The 25,528-nt window shown below is 44.8% G+C and overlaps 1 pseudogene, besides 2 other annotated features; it reads right to left on the reverse strand.

Annotated features, from left to right (window-relative positions):
- Window positions 1–288, reverse strand: RN7SL817P (RNA, 7SL, cytoplasmic 817, pseudogene; annotated as a pseudogene).
- Window positions 13,736–13,795: an enhancer, noted in NCBI's record as "active region_15702". NCBI's record gives its function as "activates an Ori minimal core promoter by ATAC-STARR-seq in GM12878 lymphoblastoid cells {active_cell/tissue: GM12878}" and the evidence as "EXISTENCE:reporter gene assay evidence [ECO:0000049][PMID:35858748]".
- Window positions 13,826–13,905: an enhancer, noted in NCBI's record as "active region_15703". NCBI's record gives its function as "activates an Ori minimal core promoter by ATAC-STARR-seq in GM12878 lymphoblastoid cells {active_cell/tissue: GM12878}" and the evidence as "EXISTENCE:reporter gene assay evidence [ECO:0000049][PMID:35858748]".

Here is a 25,528-nt window from a genome sequence, read left to right on the forward strand (position 1 = left end):
AGAGACAGGGTCTCACCACGTTGCCCAGGCTGGAATGTAGTGGTTATTCACAGGTGCGGTCCCACTACTCATCAGTATAGGAGTTTTGACCTTCCCCATTTCCAACCTGGGCCACCTCACCCCTTCTTAGGCAAACTAATGGTCCCCCATCTTCTGGGAGGTTACCGTATCAATGCCATTCTTAGTGCAGACACCGAGTCGGCATAATACAGCCCAGAACTGCTGGGCTCAAGTGATCCTCCTACCTCAGCCTCCCTAGTAGCTAGGACTACAGGTACTATGCCCGGCTCTCTGTTTCATTTTAAATTGTTGCTATTACTGTGCCTCAGAAGTTCATTAATCTTTTCTGGTTCAATTTATAACTTGCCAATATTTCCATCTAGTTTTTTTTTTTGTTTCAGACATTATAGTTTTTACTTCTATCAGTTCAACTTAGGTCTTCCATTTCTCTACTTATTATGCTCAATCTTTCCTCTAGCCTTTTGAATATGTAGGATATAGTTACAATAATTGTTTTAACCTTTGTCTTCTAATCTTATTATCTCTGTCATTTCTTGGTTGGTTTCAATTGACTGACCTTTCTCCTCATTTGGGTTGTGTTTTTGTTTCTTTACATGCCTTGGAATTTTGGTTGGATGCCAGACATTGTGAATTTTATCTTGTTGAGTGCTGAATATTTTTATATTTCTATAAGTATTCTTAAGCTTTTTTTTCTTCTTTTTTTGAATACCATTATTTGGAAACCCTGATTCTTCTAGATCTTGCTTTTATACACAAGAGCAGCATTTACTCTAGGGTTCATTTTCCCCATTAGCAAGGAAAGACCCTTCTCAGTCTACCCAATACTTTGCATGTTTTGAGGACTTCCAGGCTGGTATTGGAAATGAGCACTTTGCTCACCTCTGTGTGATCTTGGGCCATGGTTCCCTCTTGTCCTTTCAGGTGCCCCAGGTAGTAGTTTCTCACGTGCATGCACTGAGCAGTACTCAACAGAACACTTGAGGATGACCCTCTGTTAATATTTAGAGTTCTTTCTGTATAGCTGTCTCCTTTTCCTTTCTCCATTCTGCAAAGACTAGCCATCTTAGCTTCCCCAGATTCCTAGCTCCACCTGCTTCACTCAGGCAGACTTTTGGGCAGTTCCTGAGTTCCCCCTTCCTAATCCACAGCCTGAAATTTCTCTCCAGACAGTAAAGTATGGAAACTGTAGGACTCATCTTGCTTTTTTTGTCTTTTAGGGATTACTGTCCTTTGTTGCCTCATACCCAAAGTCTTGAGAGCCATTGTTTCATACACTTTGTCTGGTTTTTTGTGTGTGTGTTGTTGTTGTTGTTGTTTCAGGTAAGAGGATCAATCAATTCAGTCCCTGTTATTTCATATTGAGCAGAAGTGGAAGTCAGGACTGTTGATGTCATTTTAACATCTGTGACAATGGTAGCCATACCAGAGTGAAAAATATAGAGGAGAAATAAAACAAGATTTTATTTGCTCCTTAATCAGATGATAAAATTGATTTGTAAGGGTATAAAGAGCCAGGAGCAAAATACATGTAAATATTAATACCTTAAAAAGTCAAAGAAATAGAAATTTTAACTGAAAGAGTAGCAGAGTTTGTTGTAATATTGGTGAGGTAATAGACAGTTATCAAAAATTAGGCAATGTGTAACCTGATACTGAATATAGAAGAATGGGCTTACAGTGCCCATTTGGAGGTCAGAGACCTGAGCCTGCTGCAGTGTCATGGGCAAGACTCAAGCTTTGTGCCCTGGCCAGGATCTTCTCTGGTTAATAAATTCAGAACATATTTGTCAAAAGCCCCAAGTCACTCAAGTTGAGTTGAAACAGTTGTTTTCTTATTGAATAAGTCCCTTTCTAATCCTAAGAGATTTACATTTAAGTATAGGAATGATTAAATAAATCTATCTAAAAGTAACATGTTAAATTTTAAGAATACATATAAATTTAATATTTGAACCCATATCATGTTTAAGAGAATTTTCAAATTACAGTATCAAACAAATTAGACTTATGATTCTAATCTAGGATTCCTATTACTTTTAGTCTTATAATTTTAAATTAAAAATTACAATAGGCTTTAAGTTTACAAAGAATACTGAAAGTTGGCCAAGTGCAGTGTCTCAAACCTTTAATCCCAGCACTTTGGGAGTCCGAGGCAAGAGGATTGCTTGAGCCCAGCAGTTCAAGACCAGCTTGGCAACATCACAAAACCACGTCTCTAAAAAAACATTTTTTAAAAAAATTAGCTGAGCATGGTCCCGGCTACTCAGGAGGCTGAGGTGGGAAGACCACTTGAGCCCAGGAGGTTGAAGCTACAATGAACTGTGATCGCACCACTATACTCCAGCCTGGGTGGCAGGGCAAGACCCTTTTTCAAAACGAAAGAAGAAGAACAACAAAAGAATACTGAAAGTTACTATATATGTATATGTGTATATATATATATATATACACACACACACACACACATATACACACACATATATATACACACATACATATATACACAAATATGTTTCATATATTTTTGAAAATTATGAAGTAGTTTAGAAGATAATGTTGATTAATTACATAGTTGGAACCCTTTAAAAAAATAAAAACAGAATACATGGAATTTCAAAGGCAGTTTGGACATTTTAGGGGCCCCTTTAACACGATTCTAAATATTTGCTAGATCAAAAAATAGAGTGAAATCTGCAGGTTAAACTTAAAAGCTTAAGCCAGATGCAGTGGTGTGCACCTGTAGTCCAGCTCCCTGCCCCTCTAGCTACTTGGGAGGCTGAGGTGGGAGGATTGCCTGAGCACAGGAGTTGGAGGCCAGCATGGGCAACATAGTGAAACCCCCATCTCTAAAAATATATATTAATAAATAATTTTTAAAGGATGTGTAATTTTTGAAAAGCTTAAGGGAAAATCAGTTTTCAATTTAAAACATTCACATAAAATTTAAAATAAAAGTAGAACCTGAATAGTCTTTTATATGTCAGTGCTCCCCTGCTTTCCTCAGAATACCAAAAACTGCTTATTGACAGAAAGAGTCCCAGGCCTCTAAGCACAATGTGGAAACGATTGCTCTAAGCTGTGGTCAGTCACCGAAAGGTAACTCTGAACCAGGCACTGTCGTTTACAGATTTGCTGACTGAATTGTCACAATAGCTATCTGCTGCAGGGATTATTTTTAGTCCTAGTTTTACCAGTGAAGCAACTAAGGCTCCCAGCCAGGACATGGCAGAGCTGGAGTTTACGAAGTCCATGCTCTTAGTCACTATGACACGTGCAGTGTAATCCCTCTGCATTTCGTTTTTTTCACTTTGTTTTCAAAGAGTATTACAGCAACAACGTAGAGGATGGATTGATGAGAAGATAGAGCCAGGAGGCCAGGTGGGAACGGCGGCCCTGTCCATGTGATGTAAGAAGGGCATGGCCTATGACTATTGCTGGAGTTGGAGAAAGAGGACAGGCCTGAGAAGAAAGTTGGGAGAGGGCTATTTGGGAGGTGGCCATTAGACTAGCTGAGACAGAACGGTGACTCTAGGTTACTCCAGGGAGTTGGGTGGGGGCCCAGCAGAGGACAGTGGGGGCTTAGGTGGAGAGAAGGGGAAAGTTTAGGAGGGCGGTGGGGGTTGAATCTGAGTGCCTGCAGGAGCAGTCAGGGAGCAGCTAGACATGGGAGTCTGAAGGTTAGGACAAAGATAGGTTTTCAAAAACTGGAGAGGCAAAATATGTATTGGCACTCATAGCACTATGAAAAGAATGCTGTTAATCCAATTCAAGCCATAACTAGTTTTTGGCTAAAGGTAAGATTTGGTTTTGGATTTGTTTGTTAATTTTTACATATCTAAGTCTCTAAGGGCTAACATGGAATCAATGTGTGAACTAAAGCTGCCTTTTACAACCACTCCAAAGAGAAAACACCAGAAGCAACTACTGTGTATACAACTATATCCAAAAAGCAGCAAGGCCTCATTACTCAGGGGACAGAAACAGAGCATTCCCCAGACCAACTGTGGGCAATGCCTATGCTATGTGCAAGAGGAGACTGAAGAGAGACCTAGTACCTGCCTTCAAGGGGCTACCAACATCCCTTTTTTCCTGGCATTCAGGTATCTGCCATCCACAAACAGGCTAAGTAGGTCAGTCCAATCTGTACTAATGAGTTCTGAAATATCTTCCATAATTTAGGATCTGGTCTTGCCTTGAAGTTGCCAGGTTCTAGAAACTTTGTTATTTCTACTTTTGTTCACTTGGATCATCAAAGGGATAGAACACATAATCATTTTTTCCATTGTATTAGCAGGACACATCCCAGTTGCTGAGAAGTAGTAATTGAGTTTATCAAATACAATTACCTCCACTCAGCCCACCTCCTCCTCAGTTTGCCTTTCTCAATCAGGGAGAACTAACTCTACCTCTCACAAAGGACCCTTGCATATTTGAATGGCTTCCCAGGAGTCTTTGAGTGGCATATAATTACACTTAATTTAATTTTTTTGTCATTAGTCCCAGAGGCTTTGATCCAAGGTCTCTGTTATTCTGATATAAGGAAAATAAAGCTCCACCTAAAATTAAATATTTGCCTTTGCATTTGGTTTGCTGTTCATTGTACAAGTAATCTTCTGTTAGAATCTTTGGTTTCCAGCGGCCATTTCTGGGCTTGGCATCTTCTCCAGTTTCTTGTGTTTCCCCATCAGTTGTCAGGTCACCAGAAGCCTGAGCAAACTCAGGTTTTGTGAAAACTTCTAGATCAAGGTCTCAGGAGGTGACAAAGAAGGGACTCTTAGATCTCTCTTGTTTTCCATGTGAGGCCAGAAATCCTCAGACCTTGAGCATTGGGAATGGGATGCTTCTGTTGAAGATGCAAATTGATAGAGAAAAAATAAAGCTCTTGCCCATTTGGTTTCAGGCAATGTACCCAAAGTAAATCACAATCTGGCCCACCCTCCATTTGTAAACCAATGTTTATAAGTATTTACAGCGTGAGAGCATAGTGTACCTGTCCTGAAGGACCTAACGGTATTATGCAAGAAAGAAACTTGTAAAAAAAAAAGTCAGTAGTAGTAGGAGTTCAAATAGAATACAGGCTGTCAGAGATGCAAAAAAATACACAGAGGGACTTCAGAAAGAGAAACAAACTTACCAGGCCATTTCTCTTCAGCTTTTGGACAAAACCCCTCTTTCCTTGGTGGCAAAGCCAAGCATCACATTGTCCACAACTCCTCATTGTTACTTTTCTTTAGGGACTGCCTAGACTTTCCACACTTAGATTGAGGGGTTTATTATCCAGACCAACTGACTTCCTTTTCACCCTAATTCCTGGCACCATCTTGGGAGAATTGTTTACCATGTAAATGATACTGAACATCCTAGTCTTCAGGTTCTTAACATTCTCAACTCCAGTGACTCCCCTCTTTCTATACTGGGCTGCCCATCCTCCTGGTCATACCTTCTATCTCAACACCAACAAGAACTACCTCATCATTCAAGTCTTCATCTCAATTGCACACCAGATCAGAACCTCTCATCCCTCCAGCTCTCACTCAGATCCTCCCACTACAATTACTCTCTGCCCTCACACAACTTGACCTCTGAGCTCCTGACTCTACCTGGCTCTCCATATCTACCTGCACCTCCTGACTTCACTTCCGCATCCAGCCAAGACCCTACCAGGTTCCACTTCAATTGCTCTATTGTCAACCACCTCGGCACAGTCATCTTCTTGTCTTTCTATCACATCTACCCCCAGTAAACTCCGAATCCTGGAATGATCTAAATATCCTCCCTCTAGACAAGGGCTACTTTTTGAGCTGCTGGAGAAAATCTCACCACGGGGAAGAATGATGTCCCACAAAATTTATGGCATCAGCTGTACCATCAACATTCCTGGCTGCTCCTCAATGGTCTCCTCAAGGACTCTCCTAAACATGTATGTTTTTCCTCAAGTTCCCAACCCAATTTCCCTTTTCTCTCTTAGTTGTCCCTAATTCTTACTTTACAGAAACGTAAATAAAAATCTCCCAACTCCCTGCCCCTCCGTCACCACCCCCTAGAAATCTTAACTCTGTATGTCCTTCACCGTACCCCTCCTCAGAGGAAAGGACATCTGGATGTTCAGATGTATCTGTTGTCACTGACTCCTCAGGGACCTGGCTCCCTCAGGAACAAGTTCTCTTCAATGACTGTCAACCTCTGGATTCCCACTGGATTCTTCACTTCTTCCTGTAAACAAGCTCATGGCTCTTCTTTCTTTAAAAATTCTGGTCAGGCACAGTAGCCCAACGTCTGTAATGCCAGCACTTTGGGAGGCCAAGATGGGAGGATCACTTGAGCCCAGGATTTTGAGACCAGCCTGAGCAACATGATGAAACCTCATCTCTACAAAAAAATGCAAATATTAGCCAGGTGTGGTGGTGCATGCCTGTAGTCCCAGCTACTCAGGAGGCTGAGGTGGGAGGATCGCCTGAGCCCAGGAGGTTAAGGCTGCAGTGACCTATTAAATGTAACACTACACTCCAGCCTGGGTAACAGAATGAGACCCTGCCTAAAAAAAAAAAAAAAAAAAAAGTCTCCTTCAACCCGTCCCTCTTTTCGCGCTGTCACCATAGAGCACACCTTTCTTTCACAGCCAAGCTCATGGGACATGTGGTCTACAGTTTCAGCCTCCACTTTCTCACCTACATTTTCTTCCCAAGGTGAGCACCACCAATGCAGCTTCCACCCCTCTCAGCTACCAAAAGTGCCTAGTCCACATCTACATTTAGATGTCTAATGGATGGCTCAAACTCAACATGGCCAAATCTAAACTTCTGATCTTTGAACCCAAACCTTTTTCACCCATAGTCTTCACCACTTCCGTTGAGGGCAAAGCCATCCTTCTAGTTGCTCATGCTAGGAAATACAAAGTAATATTTTTCTTCTTTTTTTTTTTTTTTTTTTTTTTGCCCTCCACATCCCAATCTGTCAGGAATTCTTATGGTTCTACCTTCAAAGTATAGCCAAAATTGGACCACTTCTACATGCTCAGCACACAGAATTATTGAAATCAAATTTGGCCACCTCCCTGCCACCACCTTGACCCAAGCTGCCTGGATTCCTACAACAGCAGGTCTCCCTGTGTGACCCCACCCTCCCTACAGCCTATTATCAACACAGTAGCCACAGCATAATTTAGACCATGTCATTCCTTGACTCAAAACTCTCCATAGGCCCCCAAAAGCCAAATTCCTTCCATAGCCTACTAGGCCTTGGGAGATTTGCCTCTACTTTGCCCTTACTTCCCTGAGTTGATCTCCTGCTACTCTCCCTCACTCACTCCACCCTAGCTGGCTTCCTCGGTAGAGTTTTTAGAACATGCCAGGTGTAGCTTACCTTAAGGCCTTTTTAATGGCTATGCTGTTTCTCTAAAATGCTTTTTCCAGATGTTTACATGGTCAACCCCTCACCACTTTCAAGTATTTGCTCAAATGTAACTTCATGACCACCATATTTAAAATTAAAACCCCTGCCCAACATTCCGGATTTCCTTTGAGTATGTTCTACATTTTTTAATCTATAGCTCTTACCTATAGATATAGTATAAATGTGCATCTATCATGTTATAAGTGTACTTGTTTGTTGCATTCATTCTTTGTTAGCTATCTTCCCCCTCTAGAATGGAATTATTCACTTGGATAGCCTAAGCTCCAAGAACTGTGCCTGGCATATAGTAGATATAGATATATATATATATGGCACTCATATATGTACATACTATGCATAGTATATCTAAAATATATATAGTATGTATATAGTATATATATTATATATACGTATAGTAGGCACTCTATATATAAAGTAGGCACTCATATATACATTCTCTCTCTCTCTCTCTCTCTCTCTCTCTCTCTCTATATATATATATATATATATATATATGGAAAATAAATCGAATTGCCAAGGTCCCCAGTGACCTGCTGAACCCAAAAGAAACTTTTCAGTCCTCACCTTACTGGACATCCCTGCAATTCTGACACTGCTAACCACTGCATCTTCCTTGAACCTCTCTCCTCCTTTAATTTTCTTTCTCTGTCTCAGGCCACTCTTCCCTTGTCTCTTTTGTAGGTCTCTTTAAGTATTGAGTACCATCAGCTTTATCTTAAATCCTCCCTTGTTCTTCACATTCTTAAAAAAAAAAAAAAAAAAAAAATCACCCATACCCAAGGTATCACATTGCCACCTGAACACTGAACAACTCTAAAATAGATGCCTCCACACAGACCTCTCTCAAGTGTTAGACCTAGCTAACCAGCTGATAACCAGAGAGTTGAAAATTTAACATAGCCAAGCCAGCTCCTCATCCAGAGCTTGCTTTTTCAGTGAGCACCGTTCATCCAGTTGGCCAAGCCAGAAACCCAGGAGTGGTCCTTGGCCATTTCCTCTCTCTGACCCTCCACATCTGATTGATCACCAATCCCCTGATCACTGCCACCTCCTGATCACCTCTTATCTCAACTGCCATCACAGCCTCCTCCAGTCTCTCTGCTTCTGATCTCACCCCTGAAGGCCATCCTACAGTGTTTCAACTGCCTTGCCTCTCAGTCATCTACAGGGAAAATCTAAACTCCCCTTGGGCAGGCATGCCAGGCCCTCCCCACAGGCCTTCTAGGTCAGCGTCATCTCCAGCCACTGCCCTTCCTCCTCCAAGAGTCCTGGACCACATGCCCTCTCTCCTGAGGGTGCCTCCATACCCTTGTGGGTGCTTCTCCCTCTGATGGTCAAGTTCCTTCAGTGCCCATCTGTCTCTACATATCTCACCCTTCGAAGCTCAGATGCCACGACCTCTAAAGCCTCGTCCAACTTTTTCAAGTCACCCGAAGCATCCCACCTAGGCGCCCACCACATTTTGTACATACCTCCACCATGGCAACGACCATGTGGTCTTCTAATTTTAATAAACCTTCCCTATTGGCTTCCCATGTTGGCTGTGGTGGTCAATTATAATAAGGAAAAGGGCTCCATAAGCTGTAAAACCCCAAATAGACGTTTGTCACTGAGGGAAGCAAGAACCAATAGGGAGACATACAAAGAAACAATTATAATGATTATTATTATTATAATCGAGAAGGCAGAGAATCAAAGCTTAGCACACAGAATTATTGAAATCAAGAACACACTGCCAAATTTCCAATCGCAGGGTCAGGGAGGCATTACACCCCTGCTGATGTGCCATGACACCTATGAAGCTAACAGCTGGACATGGAGTCACCACTGCAGCAATGTTCATACCTCAGAGCCCTGCTTGCCACCAGCAAGAGCCAGCACAGCATGAAGATGGCCTCTGCTCCACGTCCTCCTCCTAGAGATCTCATTGGTGCATCTGATGGTGGTAACTTTTAAATCCAGAATACTAGGAGCAAGGGAATCTAGGAAATACCATTTTCAATTTTCTAGCCTCCCAGGTACAAGAAGACACAAGAGCTTGGAATGGATGCCAAGTGTGGGTCCACAGCAGCCCCATGCAGCACAAAGATGGAAATACCCTGTGACATACATCTTACCTTGGCAACATACCCCTAGCGGAAGACAAAAGTTTTGTGTGTTGCATGTTGTTTGTTTTAGAACAAAGAGCTGAGAGGCATTTCAGTTCCTGGGGAAAAGATAAAGATTTTCCTAATATGAATTGCTAACAAATTTCTTATGGAGGTGCGGAGAACCTTCCGTAGTGGACATTGTGCAATGCTCAACAAAACACACATTGTTTATCTTCATCATAATTTTCATAGCAGACACAGAAGGAGAATTCACATACTGGTTCTTAAAGTGACTTTTAAAAAGGCAACAGCATAATATGGACCTGGAATCAGGGACCTCACTTGTCCCCATATCTGCCATTAGATTGACTCATGGGTTGGCCATGTTAAAACTGCACTGCTTAGAGTCTGTGGGTTCCATGAAGGAGCGTGGGGGTCGGGCAGGTGAGAAAAGGGCATGCTGAGCCATCCTCTAGGCCCCTTCTACCAAAACAGCCAGAGCTGTATCTGTTTTATCTGAAGTCCACAGAAATTTTCCTTTTAAAAAAAGGGCTTCATTTCTTTTTAAAATATTTGAAAATTATTTGACCATCTCTCTTTTTTATTTATGATCCCATGACAGCATATGGAGACTATTGCTCTGGTCGGCCTGGTAGGCCAGTGTGAAACCTGGTAGGAGCCACAGAACAGTGTGAGGTTTTACATTGGCCTACAAGATCAGACTTCTGTTCAGCTGATCCAGACTGATCTAAAAGCTTATGAGTGGTTCAAGATAGCCAGTTCCATGGCTGCCTTGTCCAGACAGCAAATTCTGTGCTTTTTTTCTCCACCATTGCCCACAAAACCCAGCTCCAGTCTGGGACCATGGCACAAAACCAATCAGAATGCCAGGATACAAAAGAAGCTTGGAGATCCTGTAGCCCAGTATTTTCATTTCACAGGTGAGAAAACTGAAATCTGGAGGGAGGAGGGGACTCAGTCAGCAGCAGAGCTGGGTCCTCTCCCCCACCCCCAACTCTTCTGTAGGCTCTTATACCTATCTTCTCTTGCCAGTTCCATATTTAATCAACATCTTGCCTGCACCTAAAACTCCCTTAGAATTAAAATGCACACCTTATAATGCCAGCAGTGTTCTCCTGAGGGGTGCTGAGCACTGACAAGAGATTGGTGATTCCAAGAAAACTGCAGCAAATAAATATCTCCATCAATCATAGGAGCAGCTGTCTGAAAGGCCCGAACTGAAGGGAAGAAACGCCTCTTGCTGCCTTTTGTTCTTCCCAGAAAATTTCCTACCATCTTTGTTGTCTCCCTCGCCTCCTTCTTGAGCAGAATTTCTGGTCTCTACTCCCCAAATGAAGCCTGCCAAATGGGGCTAAGTTCTCGACCTACCCTCAAAACAGCTGAGTCTGGGCTTTGCAGGGAGAAGAACAGCAGCCCCTAGTGAAGCAAAATCCAGCCAAAGACACGGCACATTCTGGCCAGGGATCTTTCTACATAGGCCAGGGTCAGAGCTCAGCAGAGAGCCAGGCCAGCTGGCCCATTTATGAAACTGATTGATAGCTAGAGGCTGAGTCGGGATGCAGGCTCAGGGTGAAGACCGCCTTCTGAGAGCACAAGGAGACCAGAATGGTGAGGAGCATTTGTCGGAGGAGTCTTACCTGACTGTGGGCCCCACTGTCCTTCCCACCTGTCACTGCTTATGTGTGGTCAAATGAACACAGTCATCCCACGTAGAGTACTTTTGAAGCTAAACTTTCTGCCCAGACCTGGCTTTCTTCTGTGGTCTTCCCTGGTTCTCCATGGTACCACCACTCCCCTAGCCTCTGAGGCCTGAACTCAGGCAAGCCCTGTTGATTCTTCTACAGGAGGGTTTTACATCTGTCCCCTGGGCACCTTCTCAGTCTCACACATCTTCCTCTCTGGCCCAGAACTTACAATCATTTCCTAAACGGGCCTGTCCAGCCTGTCATACGCAAAAGCCACAGTAATCTTCCTGACACGACTTTGCATGTGATCTTTTCTCATAAATTTGCAATGTTCCACAAAACAATGAGCTGGGACTTCAAGGCCCTCTATAATTGGATCTTTTACCAAGTTTCCAGGCTCATGTCCCCATTACGAGTGCACTTATGCATGTGTGTACACACTCACAGCTTTTGATTAAGCCAGAATGACGTACCCACTGTCCCTTAGAAATGTTCTGTGGATTCCTGTCATTGTGCTGTTGTTCCCACCATTTCTTTACCTGGCACAGTCTCCCCCATAATGTGACATGTCTAAATCCCTCCTGTCCTTTCCACCCTCCTCCCCCTCCTTCCACCTTCCAGGCCCACAGAGAGTCCTGTCCACCTTGAATGCACACCCCATTTGTCATCTGCACCACATATATGATTATGGCCTCCAGATGACTGGTAAGTTAGACGGGGCATGTGTTACTATCCCCGTTTTACAGAAGCAGAAACCGTGCCTCGGGAGCTGAAAGATCTGTCTCCCCATGGTGGCACAGCAATGGGTAGCTTCAGCAGAACTCGCCCTGGTGTCCAGCCCAGCCCAGTCATTTCTCATTCTCTCTGCAGTGCCAGAGGCAGAAGAGCCAGGGCACTGAAGAGGAGGAGGTGGCAGCAGCAGGGGGAGGGAACAACAGGCCATCATTGAGGACGTCACTCACTCACGGTCCAAAGACCCTGAGGAAAAGCAGTGAGTAGTGGCTGGCTCCCCAGTCAGCCAGAAAAAATAGGACAAGCTCAGCTTGAGGAAGGATCCAGCCCAGCTCCCACCACGTGGTCAGCCAGACTTGAGGCGGAGGAGTGGGCTGCTCCTATAAGCAACCCCACGGCCATGTGGTAGAAACTGGAGGGGCAGTGTTTCTGGTTTCCTGGAAGGTCAGACTGAGGCAACTGCCATCGTTGTATATTTCTGTTATCACGTTGACTCGGGGGAGTCCAACGCCATTTGTCAGATGGTGCAGGAAAACACAGTAACCAGGCCTTCAAAACAGGGCGCCTTTGTCCACGGCTGACACCCTGGCTGGGAGCCCAGCTCAGCTTCAGGGGAAGATTTAGGTCAGAAGAAAAATGGGAGGGGTGGGCGCGGCTGCAGCCTTAGAATCTGTTTCAGCACAAGATCGAGGCGTTTCACCTCTTCCCATGGCCACACCTATGCCCCCCAGGACAGGGGGTGGGAAAGCCTGGCCTTACCTTAGTCATTACAACTGGCTTTGGGGGGAAAGTATTGGTGGGCCCCGCAAGAGAGCTATCTGGCAAATTCCTATATTCTGGAAAGTCCCCAGGCCATTTTTTCAAGCTGTCACTTCTTTCCAGTCGGCTCAAGTCAGAAAGTCTTTACTGACCTCTGGGGTGAGCACAGACCTGTGCACACAGTGATGTGGCTCCTTTGGAAACTTCCATAAACCTGGGGAATGGGGAGAAGGATCCCTCAGAGCCACAGAACCAGGAGCAATTTCCAAAGCAAAGGAGGCTTGCCAGGCAAGGCGGAGGTTGTCCTGGATCATTTGGAGTGTGATGGCTTCCTATTGACTTCCTTCTGCGTGGCGTTTCAAGGGACACTACTCAAAGGGGGTTTATGAAGAGCAGCCCCTTCACAACTTGCTGTTACAACTTCTCTTCAAACATCCTTTCCAAAAGACTCCTTTTCACTGGGGTCAGCCAGAGAAGCTGCCTCCAAGCCCACTTCTTACTCTCAATGTGCATTTACAAGGTGGCAAAGAGGTTCCCGCATTTTGTGAAAAATATCAGTGACCTGCTCTGACCTGGCTCTGGCTGCTGACCGCCACCTTCCTGCTGGCCTCGCCTGCCATCTTGTGGACAAAAGCAGTACTGCTGCCAGAGAGACGATCTTGGGCCCAGGTTTCTAAAGCAAACTTGAAAATCAACCAGGGGAGGGCCATGAAGAAAATTACTCTTGAATGGCAAGAAATCAATAATGATAGGTTTCACTTTCTCCAGCCAAGACGCACTTCTTTGCCATTTCCAGCATGTCTTATCTCACTTATCATCCAACAAGCATGCAGGTGAGCACCTGCTGTGTCCCAGGTGCCATGCTAGGCACAGGGGTAGACATGAATCAAACAGTCCCTGTCCCAGAAAAGCCTGCAGTCTGGAAGTACAGAAACACGTGAGCCAATAGAAACATCTGAACGTGAGTGGTGCATTAAAGAAATGTACCACAGGCTGCAAGGCCCCCAAAGAGGAAGTCTGCTTGGGACAAAAAAGGGAAATGGTGCAAGGGGAACAGAAGGTGACATCTGGCCAATGGCGAGCAGTGAAAATCAAAAATTAGGGGAGAGAAGGTTCAATTAAGTGTCGTCAAATCGAAACTTCCACCACTTCCTTCATCCCTGAGTCAGCAATGTTGTCAGTAGGAGACTGGTCATGTGTAAGCTTGCAGGGTGCCTTAAACGGGGAGAGGTAAAGGGTTATGGGATCTTTTTCAACGCAGTTTGTGGGGGCCTATATGTCAGTCCACATGTGTGTGATGGTACCAAGTCCAAGAAGAAGGAAAACAAAACAGGCTCTGGGTAAAACAAACCTGGGTCTGGATCTCAACTGCACTACTTAAGAGTTGTGTGACATGCATGAGCAAATAGCTTAACGTTTCTGAGCCACAGTTTCTTCACACATAAATAGAGGTGATAATCACAATCCCCCATGAAAGGAATGAAACAAAGGTTCATGTGGACCCCTAGCCCAAGGCCTAACGCATACGTGCCCTCATAAATGACTGGTGGTGGTGGCATCACGGCACGATGTCAAGGGCCCAGCACAGTTCTCCCCTAAGACCTCTCAGGGTCCGCCTGTTCCCAGAGGCTTCCCCATACCTCTCAGGCATCTTTCACATAAGCTTGCCAGATTCTGCCTGGGATATACTTATATGAAAACGTTATTTATCTGAAATGTAGCTGGTCCTCCTCTCTTTTTAGCTGCTAACTCTGGCAATCCTACTTCCAATCTCATGTTGCAGGTATATGACCCAAGGCAGTCAAGGGAGATTACAGGAGTGGATTGGGGCTGTTGTGGAAGCCCCTTTGAAGTTGCAGGTAGTGCACACCAAGGTCAGAGGCTTTCTGGCAGCTTCTGCAGGTCAAAGCTTCATTGGATCCACTCTCTTATATCGCCAAAGCAGGTTCCCCTTGAATTCTGTGGGAAACTAGTTCTGAGGGATGGAAACACAGAGCACACCAGAGGTAATGAGTCTAGAGTCAAATAAACTTGGGAAAATCTGCATTAAACAAAAAGTACAGCGGTTCCCTTCAATGCCAGATGTCTCAAGATGCTTCAACACAACCATATGAATCATGAATTTCTAGCAGGCGGGTATGGTGTACAGAACTTCCCAAACTTTCCAGTCATGGAAACTTGATCTTCATGGTCCATCCCTTGGGATTGGCTTCCTGAGAAATACTCTCTGGGAAACACTGCCCAAATGGTTGACCTCTGAAAGCAAAGCCATGTTCAAAACTCCTCTAAACCTCAGACGAAACCCAGGTGCTGATTCAGTCCCTGTAAAATGAGCCATTTTTGAACCTGCCAGCAACTGAGGCAGCCTCTTAACCAGCAGACAGCCAACACAGTCACAGCCACAGCCCGTGTTTGGGTTTTTAAGGAGGGACCTACATTAAGTACTTGTGTTTTAAGCTGATAGGTATTCATCATCTTGTGGCACAAGAAAAGGGTCTGAGAAGCCTTCCCCTGACTCCCAGCCATCTCTCTCATTAACCTGCCTCTACACCTAAAACTTCATCGTTGGATGAAGAGGCCTCGATACAAAGGCAAATATGCCTGGGAAGAGTGGCACGTCACCACGTGTGACCCGTCACCATGAGTTAGCATGAGTCTGTAGATGGGATTCCTCTCAGGGTTGCAGCTCCCATGCCAGCTTTGATTTCCTGGCAAGGAAGTTACACTGGGGCTCAAATCAGGCTCTAGCAGTGCAAGGTTAGGGAAGGGGCAGGGCCTGCCTGAGCTGTCTGGGGTGGGTGCAGGCTCTGCTGGGGTTGGCAGAGAAGAAACAAGCCAGGTGCTCCAGAATTTGCCAAACTCAGATCTTACACAGAATCTTATAAAGATCTAAACACAGGTTTGGAGTGACCATCCCTCACATGCAGCTGGGCACTGACTCCTTTCCCATAGATCCAGCTCACCTCTGGGGACTCTGGTCAACCCAGGGGCCTCTCAGTCACCTGTGGGAATACCCAGTGCCTATGGTGCAGGTCAGCCTTGGACCACACCTTCCCTAACCTAACCCCCAAATCTGGTAACTGAGTCCCACCCACTACTGCAGTTCGAGACCCGAATGCCTACTCTTGGCCCCTCACCTTATTTCCTCAGTCCTGAACTTGGCTTCCTGCCAGACCGCCCCCCCCTCCTCCTGCCTCAGTCTTCTATCTGTCATTCCACTTCAGGTCCCCCAGCTCTTAACCTTACATCCCTTCAAGGGTCTGATGTCCTACCCCAAGCCACAGGACAAACCCAGCCCCTTACTTCCACAGCTTTGTCGATGCCTCCTGTCTGCTGGAAGGAGCCTCAGGCCATGCTGCACCTGCCTGCTGGGATGGCTGCTTACTGCCTCCTGCTAGGCCTCCCAAACGCCGTATGCCCCCCTACTTCTGGCTCCTTCCATGGTCCATCTCATTCCCATGGTTCTGTCTGGGTCCAGCTCCCACGTATCCTCCTCCCACGTTCATCTCCTCCCTGGAACACAGACCTCCACAAAGCTAGTGCTACTGACTTGGGTTGCCACCGGGCATTCTCTGAAGCTGAAATCCCTCCCAAGGTTCTTGTTGGTTCTGCTTTTCTGAGGTGACCTTCTGATAATTCTGCAATGGGGCAGGAGCAGGAATCCCTGGACAAACTAAGCTGAAAGCCTCCCACCAACGTTAAGCGGGGACCACAAGGGGGCAGTATCAGTTAATGCTTGCTTCACAGAGCTGCACGAGGTTACCCTCTTATTGTTGCTGAGGGGAGTGGGAGGATAGAGCAGTGCACACAGTGGAGAGTTCTTTAGGGGAATAAGCTTATTTTGTGTTAATTTATGCAAAATAAAAAAGGTGTCAGATGAAACATTCAAGGAGGCTTTATTGAGGGAGACTCCAACGATGTCATAAGGGAGACCCTCCGCTATCTTTCAGCTGAGCCAGTTTGTGCACCGGGAATTAAGAAAGCAAATTCTAAACGGCTTCTTGGGAGCAGCACCAACAGCAGGTGCATGACTATGCTCCAAGCCCACATGTTGTAAGATGGAAACAATAACAGCCCCATAGGAGGCAGAACAGGCAAAATTGCCCTCATTTTTAGATGCAGGAGCTGCACCCCCAGAGGATTCCAATAACTTGCCAAGGTCTTGGCTTGGCTAATGGCAGAGCTGGGGCCAGAATGCCAGGACTCCTGTCACCCGCGCAGAACATCTTCCACTACACTCCACCGGGTCTCTCCTCTGATCCCAAATGAATCAATCAGTAAGCTGTTACTGATAGCTACCATGGGCCCAGGCTGGATGGTTTCCAGGGCCCCTTCCAGCTCTGAATAATGAAAGCCGCAGATTTCAGCCTAACACAGACTCTACCTTGGAACATTCCTTTCTTCTGCAGCTCCAATCTGCTTGAGTCCAAGAACACCTTTATTCAGGTTTCTCCGAGGTCACCTTAAGGGGGCTTTGATTTACCAAACCCAGTACACGAATGACTATTGGGTTCCCATAAATTATAAACTGAGGGAAAGCAGTTTTTCCAATTATGCATAAAGTTCCTTTAAACAGCAAAGTTCCCACACCTGTCACCCTGCTACCCAAGCATTTAAAATAGAATTGAACTTATAAGACTTTGATGTACATCCAACGTTGTGAGAATTCATCTACTGCTGATCCACCCACATCAAGGTAGAGAAATAAAAGGAAAGTGGTTAGGAATTAGGAATTAAGGCCTCTGGTTCTGCTGGGTGTGTGTGAGCACAAAAAGGAGAAGGTGGCCAGGCGCGGTGGCTCATGCCTGTAGTCCGAGCACTTTGGGAGGCCGAGGCGGGCAGATCACGACGTCAGGAGTTTGAGACCAGCCTGGCCAATATAGTGAAACTCTGACTCTACTAAAAATAACCTTGGCAAGTTATTGGAATCCTCTGGGGGTGCAGCTCCTGCATCTAAAAATGAGGGCAATTTTGCCTGTTCTGCCTCCTATGGGGCTGTTATTGTTTCCATCTTACAACATGTGGGCTTGGAGCATAGTCATGCACCTGCTGTTGGTGCCGCTCCCAAGAAGCCGTTTAGAATTTGCTTTCTTAATTCCCGGTGCACAAACTGGCTCAGCTGAAAGATAGCGGAGGGTCTCCCTTATGATATCGTTGGAGTCTCCCTCAATAAATCAGCCAGGCATGGTGGCACACACTTGTAGTCCCAGCTACTCGGGAGGCTGAGGCAGAAGAATTACTTGAACCCAGGAGGCAGAGGTTACAGTGAGCTGAGATCGCGCCTGGGTGACAGAGTGAGACTCCATCCCTCCCCCGCACCCCCCCCCAAAAAAAAGAGAGAGAAGGTATAACTCTTTGACCCTCTGGTCCACCAGCCTTTTTCATACTTGCCAACCAGAAGGGAGCCAGTCCCTCCTGGCCAGGGCCATTGACCAAACTGACTCTTTAATGGCACCTACAGTGAGCAAGGTAGTGTGCTCCGTCCTCAGCCAGCCTCTAATCTAGTGGTAGAGATGACACAAGGCCAGAACATTTTATCACCAGGCAGCCAGAGAGACGTGTAGCACAGGTGGTAGTAGCTGGAGATGGGAGTATGTTCACAGGTGGAAATAAGAGGGTTTTGTAGGCCAAGGAAACTGCCAGCAAAGACAGGAAGGCAGGCAAGCATAGGATGTATTTAGAGAACATTAAGATGCATTCCCTGTCTCCAACTTGATTATAAATTCCAGAAAGGAAGGAATTGTATATGATGATCCTTGGTGTTTCCTCGGAGTGCCTAGGACAGGGTCATGAATGTGGAAGGGGCTTGCAAAATACTGTTTTTGGGTGAACTTCTCAAGTCAGGACATTTCCCCAGGGCAAAGAGGCAGGTGTGTTGAAAGGAAACTGACTTGCTAGTAAGTACACACTATGCCAGTTTCCCATGTATTGCCTCTCTGCAGCACATCCTCACTTAATTTCCCTGCTTGTGATAACTGAAGCTGAACCTATTAACATGTCCCTTGTTAGCTAGCACAGTATTAAGCTTTGTCAGTAGATAGCACTGGAGAGACGTCACTGGAGGAAGGGGCTTCTCTTCCTGGTTCTTGAGTGCCTTCCTTTTTTCCTACTCTGGCAAAGCTCTAATGCTTGGCCCACATGTAGAACACTTAGTGACTGTCACCCCCAGAAAACTTCAGTAGCACCTTGGGGAAGCTCCCCAAAAAGTTTCCCAGCTAAGGTTCTCTTCAGTAACTTCCTGGCAGGTTCAATGGCAGGAAGCTTACCAATGAGTTTTGTTCACATCCAGCACTTACCAGGGTTGACCTGTTTGACCTTGACCTCAGCAAACTTTTATGCCATTCAGTGCTTCAGCCATACCATCTCCAAAGAGGGGCACCTCTTCTAAGTTTATTCTAGTCTAGATATATTAGAGTTCTCTTTTACCCTCTAAGTAGTAACCAGTCCCCTGTTCCTAGTTAATAATTCTTTATATTCTACCTTCCCTGTTGGAATTATTGTGTGGTTTCTGTCTCCTGACTAGGCCCTGACTGATACAACACTCATACACGTGCATTCACCCACTTGCCTGTATACTCCCTTCTCCCTCCTCAGTCTGATTTCTCCAATGAATCCTTGGAGCACCCTGAGTCAAGTCTTTCTCTTGGATAGTACTTATGTCAGCCAGGGTTCAGCCAGGAAAACAGAAACCACACTAAGTATTTCAAGCAGGAAGGGATTGAATACAGAGACTTTAGTACCGAAATCCTAGCTTCACCTCTTCCTAGCTGTGTAACTGTGGGCAGGTAACTTCTGTCGGCAACTCAGTTTCCACTTCTCTAAAGATAAAAGTAATAATGGTACCTAACTCATAGATTGCTCTGAAAATTAAGTAAAATGATCCGTGAAAAATTCTCAGTGTCTGGTACATGGTTAGTGCCCGATAAATGTAAGCGATTATTACTGTTACTATTATAATCTTCTAAACACTTCAAGACATCTGAGGAAAGTGTTCAAAGCCACAACAGAGTCTGAAGCTGAGGCAGTTAGAAAAGGAAGAGGACATTTTTGCAGTAAGATGTCCATTCCTGGTTGAAGGAAGACTACCCTGGATTGGAGGTAGAGGGAGGTGGCAAGGATATGACCAAGTGGCTCAAAGATACCTGTCTGTCCTCAACTTGAACAAGTTATACATACTAAACTTTCTTCACCTGTGCTGAGCAAAGGTCTCTCCTCCAGACATCTTTTTACATTTTTAGTTGAAAAGATAGGCCAGACGCAGTGGCTCACACCTATAATCCCAGCTCTTTGGGAGGCTGAGGTGGGAGGATCACTTGCATCCAGGAGTTTGAGACCAGCCTGGGCAACATAGCCAGACCCCATCTCTGGGATCAAAAAATCAAAAATCAAAAATTAGCCAGGCATGGTGGCATGTGCCTACAGACCCAGCTACTTGGGAGGCTGAGATTGGATGATTGCTTGGACTGGGAGAGGTCAAAGCTACAGTGAGCCATAATCTCACCACTGCACTCCAGCCTGGGTGACAGAGTGAGACTGTGTCAAAAAAATTATATATATAAAATATATATGCATATATATAATGCATATAAATTACATATATGTATATTATGTACATGGTTTAAAAAAAAGTCAAAGAGTACAAAATGGTATTATAGTTAAGAATCAGTCTCCTTCTGACCCCCAACCCCTCAGCTCTCTGACCACAGACAGCCACCATGAAGCAGTTTCTTGTATCTTTTCAGACATACTCTACTATATTTTCATATTTTAATACATATGGAAGAACTGTTCTTGCTTTCCTAGTAAATAACATATCTTGGGGCCAAGCTCGGTGGCTCACACCTGTAATTCCAGCAGTTTGGAAGGCTGATGCAGGAGGATCTCTTGAGCCCAGGAGGTCAAGGCGGCAATTGAGCCATGACAGTGCCAATGCACCCCAGCCTAAGTGACAGAGTGAGACCCTGTCCTGAAAAAAAAAAAAAAATCTTGAAGAACAAGGTATTTGCACTGATGAAGCTACTGTATTCTCATTTTTTCTTTCGTCTTGTTCTTTTTAGCATCTACATGGTATTCATAAGGATGCAGCACTAATTGTTTAACCAGATCCCTTCTGGTGGAAATTTGTTTCCAGTCTTTTGCTGTTACAAATAACGCTGTAATACACCTCTATGGATATGCTAATTTTTATGAGGCAGAAAATCCTCTCACCTCTGAAGAGTTACAGGCCCCAAAGACCATCTTTGTAATATTGTATAAAGACACAGGGAAAGGAGATGGGAAGCCTGCATTCCAGTCATGGAATGCTCAACCACTAACATCCTTTGCATGCAGAGACGCATCACCTCATCTGCCCGAGTGACTCGATTTTCTTGTTTATCAGGCAGCATCACTGTACCTGCTTTAAATGGCCTCACAAGGGCATTGTGAGAATCAAATGAGATAATGTACATGAAAGCCTGTGCGCGCTGTACTAATACACAAGTCTCTCATCTGGTTGTGAAATCTAGAATTGATACGTTGCTCTGTGAATGTGCCCATCAATCTTCAACATGGTGCTTGCTACTCCCACTGTCCCTTCTAAGGGAAACTGACCCATCTGCAGCTCCTGCTGACAGACAATCCGAGGCTGCTGTGCACTGTGCCGTATCACCCTGCCCTCCCCATCCTTCCACTTCACCAGACTGAACTGGGCTGGGCACCTTCCCCATCTGATAATGATCCTCATCATCTGTTGCCTCTATGTTTCCTCTCTGCCCTTCCCCTAGGAGGCATACCTCCATGAAACTGCATTAATTCATTAACCAAAACAATACAAAGCAACACAGAGTCTAGCATTCTCATTTTCCTGTCTCTAGATACCAGTCCTTCAGGGAATTTTCCAGAAGTTGAGAAGACTGGTTGCATGAGCCTTGGGTTGGTTTGGCACTCGTGACAGTGTGAAAAGAGCCTCCGCCTCCTCCACTGAGCTCAGAGAAAGGTTTATAGTAAAGCCATTTGCAGGGGTAAGGGAGACAGGATCACATGGTAGCCCAATAACAGGCTTCCCTAGAATGAAAAGCTCTGTCCCAGTAGAGATAAGCCAGGTTATTCTGATTCCTGCCCTTGGAAAGGTCTACCAGGAAATCATGAGTGACTTAAGTAGGACAAACAACACAGAAGGCATACCGAGAGGCCATACAGTTGAGGCTATGAAGAACCATTAGAAGCTGAAGTTATGAGTAAGCTGAAGTCAGGAGGAAGCAGGAACCTTGCCTACAGTGAAGTATGAGGTTGGAGGTTGTGGGTTGACGGGGGTGAGGAAGGCTGTTGATGGGAAGTGAGGGGACACGGAGAAGCAGAAACACCGAAATCAGCTGAGTTATACGAATGACAAGGCACATGTGAAGCTGCACCAACTCTGGCTGCTGGTCTCAGAATTGCCCTGAATCCAGCACAGTCCCTGCTAGGCCAGCTCATCCCTCATCCCTGTTGCTGGGCTCCCACGTGTTCTTGTCTCCTTTACCCTTGCATATGGCTTTACTATACACTTCCTTTCTCTGAACTCAACAGAGAAAGCAGAAGCTCTTTTCATACTGTCACCAGTGCCAAACCGACCCAAGGCTCGTAAGACCTGTTTCCTCCACTTCTGGGAAGTTCCCTAAAGGACAGGGGTCTAGAGACAGGGAAATGAGAATGCTAGACTGTATGTTGCTTTGGAATACATTGCTCTGCTTAATGAATTAGTACACTTTCATGGAGGTCTGCCTCCTAGGGGAAGGGCAGAGAGGAGAAACAGAAGGCAACAGATGATGAGGATCAATTGACACTTTACTCATGCTGATCCTTTCCTCTCACCCAAATCCCACCCACCCTTCATGTTCCCTCTTCCACCAAACCTTCCTCAGCTACTCCAGGCACATCAACCCTGATCCTTTTTTTTTTTGAGTTAGTCAGACTCTGTCACCCAGGTTGAAGTGCAGTGGCAAGATCACAGCTCACTTAAGTGGGCTCAAGCGATCCTCACACCTCCACCTTTCAAGTAGCTAGGACCCCGAGTACATGCTACCATGCCCAGCTAATTTTTTTTTTTTTTTATAGAGGTGGATTCCCACTATGTTGCCCAGGCTGGTCTTGAACTCCTGGGCTCAAGCGATCTTCTAGACTCAGCCTCACAAAGTACTGGGATTACAGGCATGAGACCCTGAGCCCTGACCTCTTGACTCCTATGGTACATTGCCTGATTGGCCCCAGTTCTTCATCCCCTATATCGAGACCTTTTATCTTTCTTTGTGGTTCCTCCCACTAACTGGGCAGAGTACGTTTCACCATCCTTTGAGTTTCCCCATACAACTGGCTTTCTCCAATAACATAAGATGGAAGTGATGGTGTGCCAGCTCCAAGGCCTCTTGTACTTCTTCCATCCCCGAGCAAAGGGTATGCCTAAGCTACCCCACTATTCCCAAGAGGAAGATAAGAGACACATGAAACAAAGCTGCCTCGGCCAAGCTCCCCCAGTTGAATCCAGCCTAAATCAGCCTACCTTTAGATGTCTGAGCTAAGGAAATGTTTATTGTTGTGGGCCACTGATCATTTAGGGTTGTTTGATCTATAGCTGACAACTACCCATAGTACTTATTGTGCATTTCCATACTTGGTGATTTAACAGCAGTGGATTATTTGTACATATGTCATTGTTTCTTTAAGCAGATCTCTGCTGGTTAAGATTGCCAGGTTTAACAAATAAAAATACAGGATTCCCAGTTAAATTTGAATTACAGACAAATAACTTTTTAGAAATCTGTCCCATCCAATTTTTAGAACATATTTATACTAAAATTTATGTAAAATTCAGATTTAACTGGGAATCCTGTATCTATCTGGTAATCCTACTCCTAGTAGTGCCTGAGGCAGGATAGATATCTTACACAACAGCTGTGAGATCATTTACATGGTCACCACCATAATGTTGGGAGGGGAAAGCCATGGTTCAGTTAACGATTTGCAAAGACAGAAAGTGAACCTTGAGCATTCTCCTCTCCCCAGTGGCAAAATCTACTGCTCAGAATAATGGTGATCATGGTTCTCTTTTGCCTAGTCCCTGTATGGGCAGCTTGTGGGCTAAACACCCTATCTAATTTATTATTATACTTAAGTTCTAGGGTACATGTGCACAATGTACAGGTTTGTTACATATGTATACATGTGCCATGTTGGTGTGCTGCACCCATTAACTCATCATATACATTAGGTATATCTCTTAATGCTATCCCTCCCCCTTCCCCCCACCCCTCAACAGGCCCCAGTGTGTGATGTTCCCCACCCCGTGTCCAAGTGTTCTCATTATTCAATTCCCACCTATGAGAACATGCGGTGTTTGGTTTTCTGTCCTTGCGATACTTTGATGAGAATAATGGTTTCCAGCTTCATCCATGTCCCTACAAAGGACATGAACTCATCATTTTTTATGGCTGCATAGTATTCCATGGTGTATATGTGCCACATTTTCTTAATCCAGTCTATCATCCATGGACATTTGGGTTGGTTCCAAGTCTTTGCTATTGTGAATAGTGCCGCAATAAACATACGTGTGCATGTGCCTTTATAGCAGCATGATTTATAATCCTTTGGGTATATACCCAGTAATGGGATGGCTGGGTCAAATGGTATTTCTAGTTTTAGATCCTTGAGGAGTTGCCACACTGTCTTCCACAATGGTTGAACTAGTTTACAGTCCCACCAACAGTGTAAAAGTGTTCCTATTTCTCCACATCCTCTCCAGCACCTGTTGTTTCCTGACTTTTTAATGATCGCCATTCTAACTAGTGTGAGATGGTATCTCATTGTGGTTTTGATTTGCATTTCTCTGATGGCCAGTGATGATGAGCATTTTTTCATGTGTCTATTGGCTGCATAAATGTCTTCTTTTGAGAAGTGTCTGTTCATATCCTTCACCCACTTTTTGATGGGGTTGATTTTTTCTTGTAAATTTGTTTAAGTTCTTTGTGGATTCTGGATATTAGCCCTTTGTCAGATGGGTAGATTGTAAACATTTTTCCCATTCTGTAGGTTGCCTGTTCACTCTGATGGTAGTTTCTTTTGCTGTGCAGAAGCTCTTTGGTTTAATTAGATCCCATTGGTCAATTCTGGCTTTTGTTGCCATCGCTTTTGGTGTTTTAGTCGTGAAGTCCTTGCCCATGCCTATGTCCTGAATGGTATTGCCTAGGTTTTCTTCTAGGGTTTTTATGGTTTCAGGTCAAACATTAAAGTCTTTAATCCATAGTGAACTAATTTTTGTATAAGGTGTAAGGAAGGGATCCTGTTTCAGCTTTCTACATATGGCTAGCCAGTTTTCCCAGCACCATTTATTAAATAGGGAATCTTTCCCCATTGCTTGTTTTTGTCAGGTTTGTCAAAGATCACATGGTTGTAGATGTGTGGTATTATTTCTGAAGGCTCTGTTCTGTTCCATTGATCTATATTTCTGTTTTGGTGCCAGTATCATGCTGTTTTGGTTACTGTAGCCTTGTAGTATAGTTTGAAGTCAGGTAGTGTAATGCCTCCAGCTTTGTTCTTTTGGCTTAGGGTTGTCTTGGCAATGTGGGCTCTTTTTTGGTTCTATATGAACTTTAGAGTAGTTTTTTTTTTCTAATTTTTTGAAGAAAGTCATTGATAGCTTGATGGGGATGGCATTGAATCTATAAATTACCTTGGGAAGTATGGCCATTTTCACGATATTGATTATTCCTATCCATGAGCATGGAATGTTCTTCCATTTGTTTGTATTCTCTCTTATTTCCTTGAGCAGTGGTTTGTAGTTCTCCTTGAAGA

This window comes from Homo sapiens, chromosome 2 (assembly GCF_000001405.40).
Source record: "Homo sapiens chromosome 2, GRCh38.p14 Primary Assembly".
In the NCBI taxonomy this organism is placed as follows: domain Eukaryota; kingdom Metazoa; phylum Chordata; class Mammalia; order Primates; family Hominidae; genus Homo; species Homo sapiens.